The sequence below is a fragment of the Homo sapiens genome, chromosome 8 (assembly GCF_000001405.40).
Source record: "Homo sapiens chromosome 8, GRCh38.p14 Primary Assembly".
In the NCBI taxonomy this organism is placed as follows: domain Eukaryota; kingdom Metazoa; phylum Chordata; class Mammalia; order Primates; family Hominidae; genus Homo; species Homo sapiens.
The window spans coordinates 72,583,694-72,607,740 of NC_000008.11; the positions used below are offsets into that span (position 1 = coordinate 72,583,694).

Here is a 24,047-nt window from a genome sequence, read left to right on the forward strand (position 1 = left end):
TGAAAAGATGAACCCAGAGACTTTTGTAATAATTCTGGAGAGAGACTGAATCCCATTAAATGGTAAAACTATATAGAATGAGTGCATTTATTTATTCAATGAAAAATCATCTAAAATATTTTTACATTTCATGTCTTTCATCTTAAAACTGGGGTTTATGGGTACATTGTCCTAGATACCCATTTTTTTTAATTATGAGGAAAAAAATGCTATCTTTCATAATTTAGATTTCAACAGTTACAACAATAGAATATCAAAAAAAAAAAAAAAAACAAACAAAACCCAAACCCAAAACCAAAAATACCTCTTTTTAAAGTTAAACCAGTTTAAGAATGCCAGTGGTGGTAGGTTTGTTTTCAGCAATCCTCATAATTATCGTTGTTTAGTGCTGTCAAAACAAAACAAAACAAAACAAAAAAAAACAGAAAAAAACCGTTTAGAGGAAAAGAACATTTAGACAAAAGTAAAACCAGGCACAGACAGATCTAGATACCTTTTTTAAGGGCATTTAAAGAGGATTTTTTAAAAAAGTCAATCAGAGACAACATATAGACACACATATAAACTGGCAAAGCCAGACAAAGATAAATATGAGGGAGTCCATGAAAGCGGGGAGAGTTAAAGTCTCGGAAATGCCCTGGACCCTGTTTGGCTCTGGAACCTGGGAGTGAGGCTCAGAGCTGACACTCCTAATGGCCTTTTCTCACCTCTGCTCCTCAGGGCTGGTTCCATTTAAATGAAGGATGCAGTCCTTTTTGTTTTTGTTTGATTATGGAACAGAGAAAAAAACTATTAAAAAAAAACTCTTACCTTTTACTACTTCCGTAACTATAAATAGCAGTCATGATTTATAGGAAGTGAAAAATATATATTTTTTAAATTTAGACCAAGATTCACCCAATGATAACATAAACCACTCTCACCTGCCCACCCGTGCCCTTGCAGGAACATGGACTATGTATCAGGAAAACCACAGCAAATATCTTTGTAATTTTGATTTAGTAAACAGGTAAAATATTATTTCTATTGAATGAAAAAGGCATGGTCTTATACATTTATAATGCTTAAAATCATGGAAAACCCTTTGGTATTTGCTTTGTGGTTATTTGCTCTTAACAAAAACTACCATCTGGAGCCCAGATTTGGAGTTGCTAAAGATAAAGAAAAAAAAAATCAGAAACCCTTGCTCCTTTCTCTCTCCCCATCTCTCCCATCTCTCTTGGCTCCCTAGTCCAGATTATCACAAAGAGGTTGAAGTCGTTTGGAGGAGGCCTCTGGAGCCTCACCTTGCTGAATATGGCTCTGGAACTCTGCCAGGGATGTACCCACCTCTCGTGCCATAGGCTGCTCGTCTCTAAGGTAGGGTGGTCATGATTTCTGTCCCATGGAGTCTTGCTGAAGACTGAATGATTTAATACTTGTGACATGGCTTAGCATAATACCTGGCAAATAGGGAGCACTAAATAAGGGGTTTTTTTTTGTTGTTATTGTTAGTTTCTGTCCCTGGCCAAGTGGCAGACTATAGACAAGAGATGCAATAAGTTTTGTACACAATTCCCAACTAACACAGAGGAATTGCCAGGAATTCCCTAGGAATTCTTCATAATATATAAGTTGATACAATTTTCTTTTAAGAAACTCCCATGCATTTATTTGTTTCTTCTTGACTGCATTTTCTGTGAATATATGTTCATTTCCTCAGTTAGAGCTTAAACCCCTTGAAGGCTTGTTTTATTTTCTTGTTTTATCTTCTCTCTCTTTCTGATGCTTAAATTAGTGTTTAGAATGTGTTGCAAAGCATTAATCACATGATCAATAAATGCTTAGTTTTTCAATGTTTTCTTTATTTCTTTTTCTAGAGACAGGGTCTCTCTATGTTACTCAGGCTGGTCTTGAACTCCTGGCCTCAAGTGATCCTCCTGCTTCAGCCTCCCAAAGTGTTGGGATTACAGGCATGAGCCGTGATGCCCAACGGATGTTTTCTTTAAAGACAGAAGTTATATCAATGATGGAAAAAAGAGAAAAACCTAAGATTTTTCATATGAGTGATTATGACAAAATATGATTGTTTTGTAACAGAGATCTATTGGTGTTTTTCTGAGCAGATTTGGAAAATACCTTATTTCGGCCAAATAATGGCAACTGACATTTGTTTGAATTTGTCATTTGATATTTTAAAAATCTAAATTTTCAAAAGAAAAAGGAAACTGGCAGTTTGAAAGACAGTAGTTTGAAACATTTAAAAGGGTATGGTATTTCTGTCTAGTCAGATCACTTCCAAAAATTAATTGCTATTTCTTATGTTCTCTTTCACTCTAAGTAGACTCTTATTAATCCACCAGCATTCCTAAAAAATGACATGGTGATGTTTTTCCGTGTGGAGAAGAAAAAATGTCCACACTGTCAGATGCCTTAGGCTTACCAGAATGAATTCCTACAGCATTTCCATTCCCTACCTCTTACTGCAGAAAAGAAAAACTTTTATAAAATTAGCCACTTGGAAATCTGTGAGGCTGGTTACCAGTGTCAAACCCATTACCGTGTGTCAACTCCACTTTGAACAACTGTCTTTGAGGAATGAAAAGATTCCATTTGTAGCCACTTTTTATGGTTGAGGTTTTAGAGTTCCAGGTGGTAGTTAAATTAGAATTTCTCTATTGTATACAAAAGCCCTAAGATGATTGGATTAGTTCACCAAAAAGACAACAAAATTTATAAATTGAAATCATTTTTGAAACAAATGTGTTCAACGTTTTGTAATTCCTGCACTTAGTCACAGAGGGGGAGAAAAGAAAAATCTCTCAATAGAAAAGAACTAAGGAAATTGAAAAGCCTGATAGCCTGATAGTGCAGAAGGACATGATGTCTGGGAAACAGACAAGCATTAATTGTCTACCATAATACTTTTCATGTTATCGTATTTCAGTTGCACAATAATCCCCTGAGTTGGGTGCTCTCATTCTTACTTTTGAGGATGAAAAACTAAAGCTTAGAGAGATTAAGTAACAAAACCAGGGGCATTTTCAACTTGAAATTCTGTTTAGAGTAATTCCATCAGCCATGCTGTCCAGACATTGTAAACAACCCTCGAAAAAAGAAGGCAAACTATAGTCAACAATCCAACCACATCACATTTTTTAAAAGCTGCCTCCAGTCCTAGGACCTGGGTCACTTCCAGGGTCATTTATTCAATTTCCTAGCCATCAGGAAGTAAACTCTACAGAATGAATAACATATGATCCTCTCGAAGGTTGCTAGGTATTCTCAAACTTGGTGTTGGCCTCTTTTAATTTTTTATTAAAATACGGCCTATTGATAGCAAAGATGAATCTTAAATTTTCTGTTTGACTTTATACTACAGTGTATTACTGTCGAGAAAGAAACAGTTCTTGAGATTTTTTTCCTGGAATTTACTCAGTATGTATAGACTGGATAGTGCAGAAATAACAAATCCTGACTTTGTGAACTTGATGAAACAGGTCATCAAAGCGTGGCTGCTTCAGGACCTTGTTTTTGTTTCCTGGCTTTTCACCCTGAATAACAATCCACTTGTCAGCCTATCCACCTCCCGAGACTGAAAGCTTCTTGAAGACAGGGAGTATAGCTCTTAGCTGATGATTTCCAGCTCCTTGCACAGTGACAGCATGGTAGGTTCTCTGTGGATGGTGGCTCAGTGAAAGAAGCAGCGAATGACTTTGTTACATCTAAATACACTTATGTAGTCTTAGTCCAAATATTGAAAATGTAGGGCCAGCTGCAGTGGCTCACACCTTTAATCCCAGCACTTTGGGAGGCCAAGGCAGGAGCATCAATCTTTTGAGCCCAGGAGTTTGAGAGCAGCCTGGACAACATGGTGAAATGTGGGCTGTATAAGAAAAATACAAAAATTAGCTGGGTATGGTGTCCTGTGCCTGCAGTCCAGCTACTCAGGAGACTGAGGTGGGAGAATTGCTTAAGCTGGGGAGGTTGAGGCTATACTGAGAGTCATCATGATCACACCACTGCACTCCAGCCTGGGCCAAAGAGTTAGACCCTGTCTCAATGGGAAAAAAAAGGAAAGAAAAGGAAATGTAAACTCCATAACAGGATGAAACTTTATTTTAAGTCACTTTTTATTTGTTAAAGTTGTTAAGGTTATTACATCTAGATTACATGAAGAAAATAGGGTTAAATATTTCTTTATAATTGGGCATGTGTCCATGAGCTGCAGCCAGAGTTAACTTTATAAAATGATTCATTGAAAATCTGAAAGAGAATGGATTTAAATGTCCATTTGCTTTCAAGAAAAAATGGTTAATGTTATGCTCCTTGTGCACTGTTTTTGTGGAACACATTTACTGAAAAGCCATTCTCCTGATTTTTGGACTAGAACAGAACTGGCTCTGGAAACATGGTCACATCTCTTAAACCTGAAAGTTCTGTCTTCCTCATAAATTTTTACAGTGGCACATTTTAGAGTTTTTGATTTTTATTTTCTAAGTTTTCTTCCAGTCTGAGGATTCTGAGTCTCTCTGGGTTTCTTTTCTTTTTTTTTTTTTTTTTGAGACAGAGTTTTGCACTTGTTGCCCAGGCTGGAGTGCAATGGCGTGATCTTGGCTCACCGCATCCTCCCCATCCCAGGTTCAAATGATTCTCCTGCCTCAGCCTCTCGAATAGCTGGGATTACAGTCATGCACCACCACGCCGGCTAATTTTGTATTTTTAGTAGAGACGGGGTTTTTCCATGTTGGTCAGGCTGACCTCAGGTGATCCGCCGACCTCAGGTGATCCGCCAACCCCAGGTGATCCGCCCACCTCGGCCTCCCAAAGTGCTGAGATTACAGGCTTAAGCCACCACGCCTGCCAGCTTTCTTGTACTTTTCTCATCCCATTTTACAGGTGAGGGAACAGAGGCACAGACAAATTAAGAAACATGGCCTGTCAGGCATGATGGCCTATGTCTGTATTCCCAGTGCTTTGAGAGGCGAAGGCAGGAAGATTGCATGAGGCCAGGAGTTTGATACCAGCCTGGACAACATAATGAGACCCTGTCTCTACAATAAAAAATAAATAAAAAAAAAATTAAAAATTAGCCAGGCTGTAGTCCTAGCTACTCTGGAGGCTGAGGTGGGAGAATTGCTTGAGCCCAGGAGTTCAAGGCTGCTGTGAACTATGATGGCACCACTACACTCCAGCCTGGGTGACAGAGCCAGACACCATCTCAAAAACAAGAACAACAACAAAGCAACAAAAAAAGAAACATGCCCTGAGTCACATAGCTGGTCAGTGGCTTAGCTAGGGATTGAACTCATAGTCTGATACCAGATTTTCTGGGCTGAATCACTGTGCACACTGCTCCACTCAGGCAGCAGTACAAAAACTTGGAGGAAAACATACCAACAAGGAGAGGACAGGCAACCCTAGAAAGGACAGGGAGCTCAGCTGAATAGGCAGTCCAGAGCCCACACCAACAGTTTATTTCTTATAGACCAAAACAGTATAAGGTGACCCTGAATGTGTGAGTGTAGGTTCCTTCTTCTGCAGATCATATAGAATGAATGATGGCAAATAAATGCATTAATTTAATTCACTTAGAAGATTTATTTGTAATTTTGGACTATGTGTCGTCTATTGTCTGTTTTGCGTCAAAGTTTGTAGTATAGAGAAAAGTCTAAAAAAAGAAAAAAAGAAAAAAAAAGAGAAAAGTGTATATTTATCTTTTCAGCATATGCTCTCCTGTTAGTTCAGTATGTGAGTTAGAACAGTGCCTCTCAATAGGAGTGGCACCTCTCTATAAGGAAGCAGTGTGTGTGTAGGGGGATTGTCTCATGACTGTGGCACTATCAGTGCTTGGTAGTGGAGACTGGGATACTCTACTTCCTGCCATGCTTACAGCCATCCTACGGAAGGAGGAGCTGATAGACTTCAAAAGCATGTCTAATTATCTAAACCTAGAACCTAATTCTGTTGACATATTTTTAAACTGAGTTTTAGTAAACACTGAATTTTTCAGGAATACAACAAAAGTGTAAATCTAAGACTGATTGTACTTTCTTTTGCTCTGAATTTTATAGGGATGTTCAGTCTTTCTGAGAAATTGCGTATCAGTTGCAACACTGCTCATGTTGTCTGAATCACTAATAACATACATCTGCAGATGCTGCTTTCATGGTGATTATACAACTAAGGGCAGGCATGTGACCACTTTATTCTGGTGGTCTAGCCTGAGCATTTACATTCTGGAAATACAGATTACTTTACTATAACTTATTTTCCTTTTATCGCTTTTATATTATAGCTCATTAGGCTCTTATAATGATTTTTACAGTGTATGTGTAGATTATCCACAAATTTCACTGACGTATAGTAAAAGAGGCCACACAAAATGATGCTTTTCAAAGGAGGTGTTACAAGTGATAAAATTCAGAATTCCTGGGTTCAACTCCATTTGGAGCTGTAGACACCCAGAGTCATTTTACTCTTCAAAATTTTAAAGCAATTTTAACCATAAGTAATTTAATGACCTAAGAATTACTTCCTTTTTAGGTATCATGTGGTACAGCAAGGATATATATGTATACCATCTACCTGCTTTGTAATTGCTTTGAATTTTACCAAATCCAAAAACAAAATAAGAATGGAGGTGTCTTCCTGAGATTGTTCTCCTCATTTCCCTGCTGCCTTTTTTTTTCTTTTTAGCTCCTCTCTGAAAGAACATTGGAATCAAAAAGGAGCTAATACCATTGAGCAAAAGGGCAAAGTTACTTCTTTTAAAAGAAAAGCTCATTTTTCACCATGGTAACCAGCATATCATATGACATACGTGCCACATGGCCCGTGAAAAGTGAATCCTTTCATAAATGTATTTCTATCAGAGCATAATGAGCTTTCATATGAGTATAGCAAGGACTAGAATAAGGTGACACCTTAGGTTGATTTGGGTCAAATCATTCCTGTGATGTCTTGTAACAATTTATTTGCAGTTTGCAAGAGGTAACACTAGCATTTCATTTTTTAAAATGCTTAATGAAAGTGAACCATAGGCTATGAACACAAGATGAATGCATTCTATTGAGTCTTAGAAATGGCACGTTCCCTTTTCCTGTGTCACAAACAAGCAAAAAATCTGGGATTCATTCGATTTCTCAGGATGTGTATTTGTAGCTCCTTACGTACTCCAGTTAAAACAAAAACAAAAGTTAAAAACACAGCTAAGCATAGTATTACCATAGCCACTGCTTTCTTTTAATTATAGTAGCTAAAACCTTTGGTTCTGATTTAAATTTGACATTTAACAAAGGACTAATGAAGTAAAGGAAGAGGAAATCCTTTGATAAGTATGCGTCACACCTTGGGAGAGGTAAAAATGAAAATATTTCACTCAACTTTTAAAAATCCTTTACCCTTTTCACTTGGAGACACCTTTTGTTCAGTCAGCTCTTTTTTGTTAACTCCTTTGAAAATCTCTTGTAACTGTAGTACCTCCTAAGTGTACTTTCCCAATGCTAAGACACTTTATATTCAGTTGATCTAGTTTCTTAGGCATTCGGAGGTTTAATAGGTCCCTTAAGGCGCTGCGTAGCTTCAAATCCGATGACTCAAATAAGCACAGATTTCTATAGTCAGACACTGATCTGCTTCTTTCAGGGCATCCAATAGGATATTAATTGTTTTGGAGCTTAAAGATTTCTTTACAAATATGTAAATCAGCCTAATATACCTTAATAGTCTGGGACTGAGCTGGAAACTGATGCATGCATAAAAGAAGGTGGACTTCTTTCACAAGTCATAGAAAATTAAACCTGCTATCTACTATGGGAGTGAAATTTTATTCTAGTAATCCTAATGGCAAAACCATAGAATTTCATGATGTGTTTAGGTATCAGTGTAGAAAAAGTCAAGAGTTATATATTTCTATTTCTGGATCCATTCCTTATTCTCCTTAAATTTTCCTGTTCACTAGACTTGAATTCTCAAGCTTTTAAGGAGAGGATTCAAGAAAGATAAGATTCCTATACATAATAGAGAAAATTCACTGAAGGGTAATCAGACCAGATTACCAATGGATTGAAGATATTGTCATATCTCATTCAACTTTGGATCCTGTGTACGTAGCATGGGTCCTAGTAGACATTCAATGGATGTTTAGCAAATTTAGATTATTTTGGCTATTATTTTATGCAAAGTTTTTCATTTATAATGTTAGCCTTTTGAATTATAAGAATAGTATCACTGAGACTAATCTTACATAAGTTTACATAACTAAAAACTAGATAATCTCTTGAAATGAATATTTAGCTACATAAAGTATACATGCAAAACTTAAATCATAAGAAATTTACATTTTGGCTTAGGAGATTCACATTATTATTGAATTATGCTATGTCCATCTGCTCAAGTACTGGATATATTTAGGCTCTTGTGAGCCAAATTGAAAGATTCAATGGATTATTCATCTGCTTCATGCTTTGATACATAGAAACATAGAAAGAGAGAGTCATCTTCTCTGTTTCATGATAAGGAAATTGTGAAATCTGTACTTGGGTTAAGAATGACTTTGTGATTTTCCTCTACACTCTAAAAGAGAGAAAATGGAGTTAAATATAGTAGAGTAAGTGCTTGCATTAATACTAAATTTAAGAATGGCTTTTCTTTTTCCTAACCTAATACCTCAAACAATACATCAGTATATATCTGCATGTCATAGGGGTTAGCTGAAAACTATTAAGACTTGGGGTTAAAAAACAGAAAAATGATTTAAGGGGTTAGAATTATCAACTCTGTGTGTGTGTGTGTGTGTGTGTGTAAATGGTTCATTTCTGCATGTAAAGTCTACCTAAAATTATGTTGTCTTTGGGGCTGCTCACAAGTATATTTTTTATGTGAGGCATGGCCACATGATATACATTGGCTAGTGAAATATGAATATTGTAGTGGATGCCACTGCTGGAAACACACTTCAAGAGTCAATGTGCAATTTACACATTTCCTTTTTCTTGTCTTGGTGAATATGAATGTGTACGTTGAGATGGATCTGCCTTCAGCCAGGCTTTCTCAGTGACTTTGGTAGGTGAACACCCTGAAGGTCCATGCTAGACATATGTAGTGAGAATCAGAGACTTTTGTGCACTAAGCTTCTGAAATTTGGGGGTTTTTGTTATAGCAGCATAACCTAACCTAATGTAACATACCTTGGCAAAACCAAAAATATCCATACAGGTTATTTTTGTTTTGTTTCCCTGAAAGAAAATGCAAGTTGGTCTGGTGTAAGCATTTATAAGAGAATCTAAGGGAATAAAAATAAATAAAAGACTTTTTGAATTTGAGCTACTTTGAAATTTGTAGACTTTTATTTTAGGCTTCTTTTATAAAGTTGTCCTAAGAGCAGACAACATATAAAAGGAAATTTGCTTTGATTACATTGAGTATTTGGCATGCCTGATAGTCAGTGGTTGTAATGTAAATTAGAAGATAATGAGTACTATATTTAGTATTCATGATTGTTTGTCTACATCCTTTAAAGTTTGTGTAATATTTACGTTTTAGAAAGATGTACTGAGCCCTAAATATTTGTGTGGAGAGAAGTATTTTAAAGTATAAAAAACTATAAAAGACTTATTCAAAGACTTTTATTAAATTCTTCAAGTCCTTAAGGTACACTGAATTTTGTTTTGGGAGCTGTAGACATATTATGATGTGTTAGATTATCTCTTTGGTTATGGAAAAGGCAAAAGAAACTGGCTCTGTGGTCTTTAGCAACTAAAGAGAAAAGTGACAATTCAGTGAGAGAAAAGACTAGCTTTTACGGAATGTGTCACTACTGAGGTCGGTATTGAGAAAAGTAGTGTATCTAGTTTTCTCTCTTATCTCTGCTTTAATTCCTGGGCAACTCTAGGGAGAGAGTTTAGAACTGATGTGAGATCCAGACTGGGCTCTGACCTGTTTCTCATTTTGTGATCCTTTAGGAGGCTGTGTCAGATATAGGACCACAGGGAGTAAGGGCCACTTCAGGGGCTGAGTGAATTTCCAATAACCCCTTCTTGACCTGAGCCATAACCTGCTGCCATGGCTGAATTGATTTTGTGGTGATCAATTGTTAAGGCCATTTTTTATGGCATTTAAAATGATAGAATCTGCTGGGTTATGGTTAATGACTTAAATATTGAACGAACCAGAGTCTGCCAAATGACTTTGCTCTGTTTATTGGGCTTATAGGAAGAACATTTGATTTTTTTTTCAGATGGAAAGAAAAAGAAAATTTCTGTGTAGAATGTCAGTTAATACAAACTTTTCACTAAGTTTCTGTGAGGATTGTTTCACTTAACTCAACAGTAATTAATTGAGCAGATATTATGCTAGATACCGTAAGGGTAGAAAGATAAGTGAAACTAGCCTCCATCTCAAGGAATTTAGAGTCTACCTGAGGAAATGATAATTTAGTTATATACCTCATCTTAGTATTGCAGATGACTCAGCTCTATTGATATATATGATAGCCTTCAAAGGATTTGAAACTGGCAATAAGAAGATAAAACAAGTTCCTTATTATTAAGAAGTTGTTTTCAATTTCCAAAAAGTTAAAAATTTACCTCTACCACAAGAAGCAAAGCAATTTGCACCCCCCTCATCCTCCTCAATCCCTGCCACTGAGCATTATTCAAATGGTCCACCCCCTTCTCTGGTCCAGTTATGCTTATATCACTAAGATATAAGTCAAATATATAGTCAGGTAGAAGAATTGTTAAACTGCTTTAGCTTGTGATGAATAGTCTTGGAGATTTGGTTGGGAATGTGTGGAGTCAGGGTTGGGGAGTTGACATTTCACATATATTTTGATGTTTAGAGAAACAAGGAAGCAGAGTACTTTATTTTGGTAGCTGTAGCCTTGGCTTTTGTTTTGGTAATGACCAAAATTTCTAGATGAACGTGTCAGTGGAAAAGCTATAAAAATTTCAGCAAGCTCTATGCTCATAACACAGCAGCGCTTTTCCATACCTGAGAATCATTGACTCAGCAGATCCAACTCAGTAAACATGCATAGTAAAAGAGTACAGATGCCCCTCATCCCTGCCCTACATGTTACTTATAAAAGAGTTTCCTTGGCCAACTGACTTACTCTCTTTTTAAAACAGTATAATAAACCATTTTAAAGCATTTGAATAAGTAGTTTTAAATATTATAGCAGATTCAAAGCACCAAATTAGATTAGGAAAAACTTCCTTAGTGTATACACATTAGCCAAAGGTGATGGTTAAAAAACACCAAGCCAACAGAGGAGACAGAAAACAAGAATTCGTACAAGAACAAAAGGCTCAGCAACCTGGGACCATTTAGGGTAAGAGGATTGTTCTTCATAGTTTGAAAGTTCCTGAGGGTCTTGCTATTTTACAGATCAGCCTTGCAGTGTGATCCTGTCACACAATGGAGAACAATCAACATCTTGCCATTAGCAACAAGTCCTAACTCCCTAACAGAGCCCTTCCTGTGCACCTCCCCACCCCCAAGCTTCTACCTGCCCACCATCATTTCCCACTCTGTTCCAGCCCTTGAACTCACTCATGAGGCCCTCAAGTGCATCATGTGTCTCTTGCCTCTGGGTCTTTCTGATTGCTAATTCCTGAAATCCTTGCTAATTTCTTTTTTTCTTTTTTCTTTCTTTTTTTTTTTTTTTAAGACAGAGTCTCACTTTGTCACCCAGGCTGAAGTGCAGTGGCGTGATCTTGGCTCACTGCAACCTCTGCCTCCCAGGTTTAAGCGATTCTTCTGCCTCAGCCTCCTGAGGAGCTGGGACTACAGGCATGTGCCACCACGCCCAGCTAATTTTTGTATTTTTAGTAGAGACGGAGTTTCACCATATTGACCAGGCTGGTCTCGAACTCCTGACCTCGTGATCCGCCCACGTCGGCCTCCCAAAGTGCTGGGATTACAGGCATGAGCCATGGCACCTGGCTGTCCTTGCTAATTTCTAAACATACTTGAATTCTCACCTCATATGTCCCTAGCTCTGAGAAGCCTTCACAGAGTAAGGTGGTCCTGGTCATGTGTTCCCATAACACCCTGTATTCCCGTATTTGGCCCAGCCTACATTATATTGCAATTGCTTATTTAATGGTCTCAAGCAGGATTGGTGAGCTCGTGGACCAAATCCAGCTCTCGCTTATTTCTGAAAATAAAGTTTTAGTGGCACATAATCATGCTTGTTTCTATGGCTTTTTTCACGGTACAGTGGCAGAGTTCACTAGTTGAGACAGACAGTGTATGTCACACAAAACCAAGACCTATCTGGACTTTTCCAGAAAAAGCTTCCTGACTCCTGGTCTCAAGAACAAGCAATATGTCTACCATGTTCACCACCGAATCTAATAAAATTAAGATAATTAGTCAGCATCTATTATGTCCTAAGCAATGTCCTAGGTGTTCATGTAACCTTCACAGCAGCCCTAGGAAGAAGGCATTATTATACCCAATTTGTAGTTGAGAAACTGAAAGGAAGGTGAGTAAATGATTTCTTAAATGTCACCAAGCTTAAATGGCTTACCTGGAATTTGACCTCATATTTCCTTTGCAGTAAGGTACTCTGATGTCAAGAGACTAGGTAATATGTCATCAGCAAAGAGCAGCCTCTGGCAGTAGAATGCAATATTCAAATACTGGCTCTGCCGAGTACTACTTTTCTGACCTTATCCAGGGAGTCATTGAATTGCTCTGTGCCTAATTTTCCACAGCTATAAGTTGTTTACCCTCTCTGGCCTTTTGTCTCCACATATGATAAATGCGATGATTTTAGTCTCTTACTGGGATGCTGTGAAGTTTAAATGAGATATTATGCATATAATGTTTGAAGCACTTGACACGTATGAAACAATGAAGACATGCCCATCATTGTTACATAAGGCTGCCTCAAAATCCTTACTAATAGCTTCAGAATTTTCAAGAAATTGCATTCTATTTATAACTTACATTTTACCTAATTTCAAAGAGGATTTTCAGTGATAATTTGTCTAGTGTTCTATATACTCTATAAAGGTAAGGAAGTGATTCAAGATATAGCCATATTAAAACAACACAAAGTATTACATCTTATTTTCTGTGATGGGCTAAAAAATCATCTTCCATCATTGTTGCCATGAACTTTGGCTACTTTTTGGGGTTTTCCAAATATCACATGCATGATGCCAAATGTGATGCCTGAATCAGCATGTGGTTTACCTCCTAAGGATTTTCTGCTGGTTTATTTTCTGCTGATGTTATTGCCTCTGCTATTGGCCCAAACATTGCAGAAGCACTGGGAAACAGCCAACCAGCATGCTTGCTTGCTTGCTTGCTTGCTTTTTTTTTTTTTTTTTTTTTTTTTTTTTTTTTTTTTTTTTGAGATGGACTCTCATTCTGTCACCAGGCTGGAGTGCAGTGGCACGATCTCGGCTCACTGCAACATTCGCCTCCTGGGTTCAAGCAATTCCTCTGCCTCAGCCTCCTGAGTAGCTGGGACTACAGGCGCACGCCACCACACTCAGCTAATTTTCTGTATTTTAGTAGAGACATTAGTAGAGACGGGGTTTCACCGTGTTGGCCAGGTTGGTCTTGATCTCCCTACCTCGTGATCTGCCCACCTCGGCCTTCCAAAGTGCTGGGATTACAGGCGTGAGCCACCACGCCTGGCCCATGTTTTCCCTTTTATAAATGACAGGATCAACCCACTGCATAAAGGAATATGAAAGTCTGGAGTCTACAGCTTTTGGTTTTGTGTTGTTCTTGTTTCTTTGTTGTTTTCAGATGAAGCATCTGCATGTTATCAGGAACCATAAGAAAGTTTCATGAACATTTTTTAAAAGTAAAAATATGGCTACTCACTGGAAATACCATTCACCATACCATTATAGAAATTGATTTTACAGTCTTGCTTCAAATCTATCCCAACTTCTTGAAAGTTAAACTTAGCAGAGAGGTAGAGCATTTTATTCATCAAATCACTGTTAGAAGAAGAATTAACTTTATTGGGTAGGTGAGTACAGTTTAGCCATAATGATGTAGTTAAGTTTGTTTGTACTGGTCCCATATGGGAATATTAATTTGTCCTGGATCCAGGGTTCTAGAATTCATCCCTAACTTTATCAGCCAGGAAGTCCCAACCCAAAAATGCTAAAAAAGAAATTAAACAAGTGCTAATGAGGTTGCAGAGAAAAAGGAATGCTTGTATACTGATGGTAGGAGTGTAAATTAGTTCAACCATTGTGGAAAACAGTGTAGTAATTCCTCAAAGACCTAAGAACAGAAATACCATTCGACCCAGCAATCCCATTACTTGATATATACCCAAAGGAATATAAATCATTCTACCATAAAGACACATGCATACATGTGTTCACTGCAGCATTATTCATGATAGCAAAGACATGGAATCAACCTAAATGTCCACCAATGGTAGACTGGATAAAGAAAATGTGGTATGTCAAAGCCTGGCAGAGACACAACAAAAAAAGAGAATTTTAGACCAATATCCTTGATGAACATTGATGCAAAAATCCTCAATAAAATACTGGCAAACCGAATCCAGCAGCACATCAAAAAGCTTATCCACCATGATCAAGTGGACTTCATCACTCAGATGCAAGGCTGGTTCAACATATGAAAATCAATAAACGTAATCCAGCATATAAACAGAACCAAAGACAAAAACCACATGATTATCTCAATAGATGCAGAAAAGGCCTTTGAAAAAATTCAACAACGCTTCATGCTAAAAACTCTCAATAAATTAGGTATTGATGGGACATATCTCAAAATAATAAGAGCTATCTATGACAGACCTACAGCCAATATCATACTGAATGGACAAAAACTGGAAGCATTCCCTTTGAAAACTGGCACAAGACAAGAATGCCCTCTCTCACCACTCCTATTCAACATAGTGTTGGAAGTTCTGGCCAGGGCACTCAGGCAGGAGAAGGAAATAAAGGGCATTCAATTAGGAAAAGAGGAAGTCAAATTGTCCCTGTTTGCAGATGACATGATTGTATATCTAGAAAATCCCAGCATCTCAGCCCAAAATCTCCTTAAGCTGATAAGCAACTTCAGCAAAGTCTTAAGATACAAAATCAATGTGCAAAAATCACAAGCATTCTTATACACCAATAAGAGACAGAGAGCCAAATCATGAGTGAACTCCCATTCACAATTGCTTCAAAGAGAATACAATACCTAGGAATCCAACTTACAAGGGATGTGAAAGACCTCTTCAAGGAGAACTGCAAACCACAACTCAATGAAATAAAAGAGGATACAAACAAATGGAAGAACATTCCATGTTCATGGGTAGGAAGAATCAATATCGTGAAAATGGCCATACTGCCCAAGGTAATTTATAGATTCAATGCCGTCCCCATCAAACTACCAATGACTTTCTTCACAGAATTAGAAAAAAACTACTTTAAAGTTCATACGGAACCAAAAAAGAGCCCGCATCGCCAAGTCAATCCTAAGCCAAAAGAACAAAGCTGGAGGCATCATGCTACCTGACTTCAAACTATACTACAAGGCTACAGTAACCAAAACAGCATGGTACTGCTACCAAAACAGAGATATAGACCAATGGAACAGAACAGAGCCCTCCGAAATAATGCCGCATATCTACAACTATCTGATCTTTGACAAACCTGACAAAAACAAGCAATTGGGAAAGGATTCCCTGTTTAATAAAAGGTGCTGGGAAAACTGACTAGCCATATATAGAAAGCTGAAACTGGATCCCTTCCTTACACCTTATACAAAAATTAATTCAAGATGGATAAAAGACTTAAATGTTAGACCTAAAACCATAAAAACCCTAGAAGAAAACCTAGGCAATACCATTCAGGACATAGGCATGGGCAAGGACTTCATGACTAAAACAGCAAAAGCAATGGCAACAAAAGCCATTGACAAATGGGATCTAATTAAACTAAAGAGCTTCTGCACAGCAAAAGAAACTACCATCAGAGTGAACAGGCAACCTACAGGATGGGAGAAAATTTTTGCAACCTCCTCATCAGACAAAGGGCTAATATCCAGAATCTACAAAGAACTCAAACAAATTTACAATAAAAAAACAAACAACCCCATCAAAAAGTGGGCAAAGGATATGAACAGACACTTCTCAAAAGAAGACATTTATGTAGCCAAAAAACACATGAAAAAAGGCTCATCATCACTGGCCATCAGAGAAATGCAAATCAAAACCACAATGAGATACCATCTCACACCAGTTAGAATGGCGATCATTAAAAAAGAAACAACAGATGCTGGAGAGGATGTGGAGAAATAGGAACACTTTTACACTGTTGGTGGAACTGTAAACTAGTTCAACCATTGTGGAAGTCAGTGTGGTGATTCCTCAAGGATCTAGAACTAGAAATACCATTTGACCCAGCCATCCCATTATGGGGTATACACCCAAAGGATTATAAATCATGCTGCTATAAAGACACATGCACACGTATGTTTATTGCGGCATTATTCACAATAGCAAAGACTTGGAACCAACCCAAATGTCCAACAATGATAGACTGGATTAAGAAAATGTGGCACATATACACCATGGAATACTATGCAGCCATAAAAAATGATGAGTTCATGTCCTTTGTAGGGACATGGATGAAGCTGGAAACCATCATTCTCAGCAAACTATCACAAGGACAAAAAAACAAACACTGCATGTTCTCACTCATAGGTGGGAATTGAACAATGAGAACACATGGACACAGGAAGGGGAACATCACACACTGGGGCCTGTTGTGGGGTGCGGGGAGAGGGGAGGGATAGCATTAGGAGATATACCTAATGCTAAATGACGAGTTAATGGGTGCAGCACACTAACATGGCACATGTATACATATGTAACAAACCTGTACGTTGTGTACATGTACCCTAAAACTTAAAGTATAATAATAATAAAATTTAAAAAAAAAAGAAAATGTGGTATGTATACACCATGGAATACCATACAGCCATAAAAAAGGATGAGATCATGTCCTTTGCGGGAACATGGATGGAGCTGGAGACTATTATCCTTAGCAAACTAACAGATGAACAGAAAATCAAATATCACACGTTCTCACTTGTAAGTGGAAGCTAAATTATGAGAACACATGGATGCATAGAGGGGAACAACAAATACTAGGGCCTACCAGTAGGGTGGAGGGTGGGAGGAGGGAGAGGATCAGAAAAAATAACTAATAGGTACTAGGCTTAATACCTGGATAATGAAATAGTCAGTACAATAAACCCCCATGACACGAGTTTGCTTGTATAACAAACCTGCACATGTGCCTCTGAACTTGAAATAAAAGTCAAAAAAAAAAAAAGAAATTAAAATGGTAAGTTCTACTCACAACCATTTCTGTATTTTGGTCTTAAGACTGTATTGCTACCTGTAAAAAAAAGGGTATCAGCAAACTTGTTCATTATTTTTTATATGTTTTAGTTGGCAAATTAAGAGCATTTCATTTAATATTCTCTTAATTAACCCCAGTTTTAACTCTCAGTAGGAATTGACATACTTGACTTTCACCATTTGTGTTTATAACATCGGCCTTATATTTGCTAGCAAGGGATTATTAATAATAAGCATTTTTTTCACGAAATGATTTCAAAGACAAAACTTTAGTAATTAAGTTGTTAATGTACATTCCAGTGGAGAGTATGGGAAATACTGTCATTAGATGTTCATCTATTAGCATTTTGCCTTGTCATTTAGAGAAAGGGGAGAATCATGAACCATCTGAGTTTAGAAAAGGAGGCAAAATTGGAGGCACAGGCCTTTCATCCAGCAGTAATATTAGAAGTTCTGGTTACAAATGTTATTTGTTTCTTTTTGGTGGTAATATACACATGAAAAATGAATCTTTAACCCCCTTTATGTGAAGTTTAAATCTTGCATTAACTGCTGGATGGTGGGACTCATTACAACTTGATTGATGACTGAACTTCCACTGTGAAGTGTTTAAGGGGCAAATATTCAGGCAAGATGAGTTGTCACTATGTTACTGGAAATACACCTATTATCCTGTCAAGGTAAGTCTAAACTCTTGAAATAGGTACTAATGTGGTTTCTTGACCTGAGTGGCTTGAAATGCCAGTTCAGTACAGAACACTCTATCACAAAAACAATCCATTGACAATATCACCCAAGCAGTATTTCAACAAGCCTAAGTGATGTTGGCAGCCAACTAATGAGGACATGAAGTCATGAACTGAAGCTCCACAGGCCTGCACAAATTTACACATGCATTTTAACTTGCTTTGATCTTCAGAATTGCAACTCAAGTTTGGTCAGCAATCAAGTAGTTGAAGGCTTATGCTTCTCTAGACACGTTCTATTTCTGTTCACTGTGTGCCTGGGTTGCAATGGGGGAGGGCAGTGAGGGGGAAGAAATCCTGGAAAAGCTTTGTTATCATTCCTGAAATGAAAAGTATTCTATTTAGCTTAGAAGTTTGATTCTTGATACTAATAACTGATATTAGGCAGCTCCAGCCATTTTTAAAATCTATTGAGAGAACAAACCTGAGCATTTAATTCTCAGAACATCAGAATCAGTCACTGAGTGGTCTGTTGTGATTGTACCAGCCTAAATTTGGGGAGGTGGCCTCAAGTTTGTCTTCATTCCTTTTTTTCAGGGTTGCATGATAAAATCAGTAAGTAGAATTTTGCTGCAGATGCTACTGAATCATTGCTAGAATTTTGCTGCCCTGCTAAATTTTAGTCAAAGGAGGACTGTGCATTTTGTATTATTTTAGTTTCTATCATTCTTATCAATATTTGTTCATTTAGCTTTATATAATTTCCATGTGAGAGATTAAATGAATCATGCTACCTTATTATATAGGCAGACTCTAGTCATTTTTTGCATTAAAGATAGGCACTATCTTTTGCATAGTAAAATGACTGTTGCCGAAGCCAAAATGTAGTGGCTTCAGCAATAGCCATTTTACTATGACTCACAATTTTATGGGTTGGGAATTCAGGCAGGGCATAGCTTGGCAGTTTTTCAGTTGACTTTCCACTGAAGTCGGCTGGTTGAATTCAGCTGACAGTTGGCTGATCTTTGCTCATGAGCCTGACACCTTCATGAGAGTGGCTGGAAGGCTGGGCTTATGTGGGATCCTCTCTCTTTCCATGTCATCTCCAAGTCTTTCCATATGATCTCTTCAGTAGAATAGTTCTTCTCCATCTCAGGGAATTCATGGCCATCTTTGATCTGTCACAAATGAATTAGTCAACTTAGTTTCCTTTGAGGTTAAGCACTAAAAAAAAAAAAAGGCGGCATGCCCGCTGATGTATACAAACCTAATGTACACTTCATTCATCCCTTACTTTCTACAGCCAGTGAAATTATCATCTTGAGTTGTACCTCTCAAATTTAACCTCAGGACATCTCTTGCATAGCCTTCTAACTGGTATCCTTGTCTCCTGCATCCTCTCCACTACTGCCAAAATCATTATACTAAAGCACATGTGTGATTGTGTCACTTCTCATCAATGGCTCCTATTGGTTTATAAAGCGAAGTCCAATAGCCTTAGCCTGGCACACAAGGCCTTTCATTATTTGGTTCCAGTCTTCTTTTTAACCATGACACCCACCATTCCCTTCCCAGCTCACCCCAAACCCCTTTGCTACCTGTCATGTTCCATTGCACTCTGGCTATACTGTTTCCCAAATGCAACATGCCTTTGCATGACTATATACTTAGCAGCTCTTTTCTCCTTGAATATTATCCCTTCTCCCCATATCTACCTACTAATGTGGCCTATTCACCTTTCAAATTTCCATTCATATGTCACCTGCCTTGCACTCCCATAACACTGTGCTTACACTGTCAGTACAGGAGCAGATCACTCTTTTGCTGATACTCATTTCTTGTGTGTCAGCGATGCAGAGCAGAGTGGTCAACAACACAGACTCTGAGCCAGATTGTCCCAGAGTGAATCCTGTTTCACAACTTATTAGCTGTACTGGGTTGATTAGTGTCCTCATCCTTCTAAAAACTCAGAATGTGACAGTATTTGGAAATAGGCTTGCTGCAGATGTCATTAGTTAAGATGAGATCACACTGGAGTAGGGTGGCCTCTTACTCCAAACTTGCTCGTATCCTTATAAGAAAAAAATTCAGAGGCAGACATGCACAATGTAAAGAGACACAGGGAGCATGCCATATGAACTTGGAGGTAGAAATTGGCATGATGCATCTACAAGCCGAGGAATGCCAAGTATTGTGGTGATACCAGAATATTGGAGAAAGATATGGTGTTGATTTTCCCCCCGAGCTTTCAGAGAAAGCTTGGCCCTGCTGACACCCTGGTTTTGGACTTCTAGCCTCCAGAACTGTGAGAGAATACATGTTGCTGTTTAAGCCACCTAGTTTGTGGTACATTGTTATGGCAGCCCTAAGAAATTAATAAATGAGCTGTATGACTTGGAACAAGTTATTCATCCTGTCTGTATGTCAGTTTTCTCATCTGTAAAATGGTCATAATAATCAACCCTACTCCATAGAGTTTTATATACGTTAAACGAGTTAAGATGCAGTAACTACTTAGAACACAACCTATACACAATGAATGCTCCATCTATAATCTATTACTGATACTTATGCGTATGAATCCTTCTCTAAGGTAGAGATCATGTCCTATTTGGTTTCTGTACCTTTTTGAGAAGCATTATGACATAGCAGAAAGAATCAGTGCTCAGAAAAACAAAAACCTTGAGATCAAGTTTGGGATGTGGCATTTAAGAGCCACCATGTGATTTTGGACAAGTTACTTAAATTTGAGCCTCAGTTGCCTTATCTTGAAAATAAACAAATAATGTCAACTTTGCAGTATTCTTATGGAAATTAAAATTAACATGTATCTGACACATAGTAGGTACTCAAATAATTAGAGCTGTATACTCTTCCCAAAAATCACCTAATGAAGTGTCATGAACATACTAGTTGCTCAAAAAGATGTTTTTAATTGGATCATAAATTAATTGTTTTGTACCCATTTAAATTAACATTTTTGGCAGTTCATTCTATATTTTTCTGCAAAGTGTTTTTGTGGTTTTAAATTTTGTGTCCTTTCACTTAGACTCCAAAGGTCATCCCTATCTTGGATTAGAATGCTGAGTAGAAGCACATGATTTTTTAAAAATGTATCTTGCATTATTTAATGAACTATCCATCAATCATACCTTCTCTTGTGTTTTGTGAAGGAGGAGAAAATGATTTTAACATTCTTGACAAGCTTTCCATGACTGCATCTTGATGCCAAGTTGGTTTTCTCTTGTTCTCATAACTTTATCAGCAGTCTTGCTTAGAATATTTTATTTTGTTCCTGTTGTGCTGTCACTTTGGAGACAGCCAATCAACCTAAGCATGGTTCACCATGGTGTGTGCCACTCAAATATGCAATAAGAAAGTATTTGCAGCACCAGGCTAGGAGATGAAGTTAATTAATAGAAGTACGCTGTAAAAAGTCACTTGGGGAAAATGTCAGGAAGAAATGCAACGCCCCATTGCACTACAGCTGTGCTCATTACCAAGCCTGACACAGCACAGCTGGGACATGGCATTAGCAATGGGTGCCATGGAGGCCTGCTTGCTCCTTGGCAGCTGGTTATGTCTGGGCTACACTGGGGGCTCCACACTAGACATCATTAGGGGTTTGTAGTGTTGGTAGCTTTTGATTTTGTTCTTTGGGCCTATTTGTGTCATTACTACCAGTCTGAGACATGAAGATTTTTAACTACGGGGAAAACCATTGCATGGCTTTAAAGGATTTTCATAGGAGAAAAAGAGAATAGGATTTCATGAGAACCATGTGCTTAATAAGCTTAGAAAGCTTATTAAGACAGCTTTCTAAGTCATTAGCAAGGAAAGGAAAGTCTTTCAACAGTTAGATGTTACAGTTATACAGAGGGCTGTATTTAAGTATTTTTAATGCTGTAAAAAGTGCTTCAGCCTTTGAAGTTACACACAAAATAATTTAGTCCCAGACCAATTTCATTGGAAATAAATATTCCAAATGAATCTTTTTTCCAGTTTCAACTTTGTCAAGATATGTGGTTCAATAAATATTCTAATGGTGGCAGGTGAGCATAAATATAGAGAAGATGGTAATTAAATAGAATTTATCTTTATAGGAATATAAAAATCATACACTTTTTAGGCTAACTTTTTGATAGAAGCTGCAAATATGTCACATCCTTAATATCTTCAAAACAAGAGGAATACTAACCCAGCAATTGAAAAAAAAGACAAAAGGAGGAAGAAAATTGTCAAATTAATTGAAGAAAAGTAAATTGAAACAACCTACTTTTTCAGTTGTACACTGGCAAAGATTGCAAAGATTTTGAAAAACAGGACTCAAAGCTGGTGAGTATACAGAATATATTATCTCATTAGAATAAGTTAAATTGGTATCATTTTCTAGAAAACAATTTAGCAGTATGTTTATATTCTTTGACCCAGTAGCTTTACTTCTGGGAATTAGTCCTAAGGAATAATAAGAAATTCACAGTATTAGGTGTAAACACTTCTCATAAAATTATTATAATAGGGAAAAACTAGAAGCAATTATAGAGGAATGACTAGATAGCAGTGACAAATCCATGGAATTCTGTACACTTTGATGAATATTTAATGATATATGTACATACTCATAATCCAAGTAAAAGAAAATACAGAATTATAGATGGAATATTATACTATTGTATAACGTAATATTTTTAAAAATGGGAAATGCATCAAAGTTCTAATTATTATCTCTGCATGGCAGGATAATGGTGATTTGTGATTTTATTGTTATTAACATTTATCATACTAATTAGTAATTGTTATTTCACCATCAGAAACAAACAGGCCATTAATTTTTCAGCCTGGAGGCATTAGAGAGAGGTCCTCAGCTCCACATCCCCTATGGTATTGGTCCCTTCGGAGGCAGTTCACTGGTCGTTTGGGCCAGCATGTGATTTACATGAAGGTCTGATAAGCCAAGGAGGAGAGATCATGAATAGTCCGCCAGGATGGGTCCCCACGGGGAAAAAGACCCAAACAAATGAATATCCACCCCTTCACTGCTGTGACCTGTGAGCACCAGGAGATGAGGTCTGCTTGCTGAGGGAGAGTAAAAGTTAAGGCAGAAAAGTGTATCTGAAATGAGAACCAGGTTCTAGATTCTAAGACGTCGCTGGGGAATGAGTGCCTCTCCTATGGGCTGGAGGCTAGAGAAAATCTGAGCTTCAGCATCTGGGAGAGCAGGCCTGAGGGATCAGTGTTGAGGACTGAAGTCAGGATCTATGGCCAAGAGTGCAGATTTGGCTAGAGAAAAGAGCAGGGCAAAATGAGTTATAGAGTGGTGGACTGTACTGTGTGTTGATGTAGAGAGGAAAGGTGAAGAACTGGGTACCTGCCTCAAAAATGGGCCGATGTCTCCTGGGTTCCGTTTTGAGTTACTTCCAACACAGTTTTTGAGCAGCATGGGCAGTGGTAATGCTAAAGAGAGTGACACATATCAAAGGCAACCAGAGGAGCAGCAGTATTGGTGTGGGGAGAGGGATGGAGTTGGAGGAACAGGGATGGGGCCAGTGGAGAGGCACATGAGAAGCAGAAGGAAGGAAGGTGGGCTTCCTAAAGTAGAAAGGACCATCCTTCTCAAGAATGATTACAAGGCACTCCAAGGACCCCTTGTTTCAAATGCAGTAATTTCGGGGAGAGAGATGGAGGGCTGGAAGTTTAGCAATGTATTTACTGGAGACTGAGCTAGAGAATGTAATTGTGTTACCATTACAGTGACTCATTCTTTACTTTGCATTTCCAGGCTGGCATGTCCTGGCAAATGCAAATATATTGAAATGTATGAAGAATAATGAGGATAAAACATGTAAGTGTCTCTGTGCCTAACAGTAATACAATAAGCAAGGAAATATTTTGTGATTTATATTTTATGATCTGTTTAGAAAGTGTTTTTTAATCCTCAGATATAGCTATAGAAAATTCTCCTCTAGTCTCTAAAATTTTATCATTTCCATATTGAATAATTGCTTTTAGAAAAA

The 24,047-nt window shown here is 37.7% G+C and overlaps 1 protein-coding gene across 1 annotated transcript in view, besides 1 other annotated feature; it reads left to right on the forward strand.

Annotated features, from left to right (window-relative positions):
- KCNB2 (potassium voltage-gated channel subfamily B member 2) overlaps positions 1–24,047 on the forward strand; it is a 401,125-nt gene that overhangs the window by 46,469 nt on the left and 330,609 nt on the right. The window lies entirely within an intron of this gene.
- Positions 743–1,942: an enhancer, noted in NCBI's record as "CDK7 strongly-dependent group 2 enhancer chr8:73496671-73497870 (GRCh37/hg19 assembly coordinates)". NCBI's record gives its function as "activates an origin of replication core promoter dependent on BRD2, BRD4, P300/CBP, MED14 and CDK7 cofactors, with strong dependence on CDK7, by STARR-seq in HCT116 cells {active_cell/tissue: HCT116}" and the evidence as "EXISTENCE:reporter gene assay evidence [ECO:0000049][PMID:35650434]".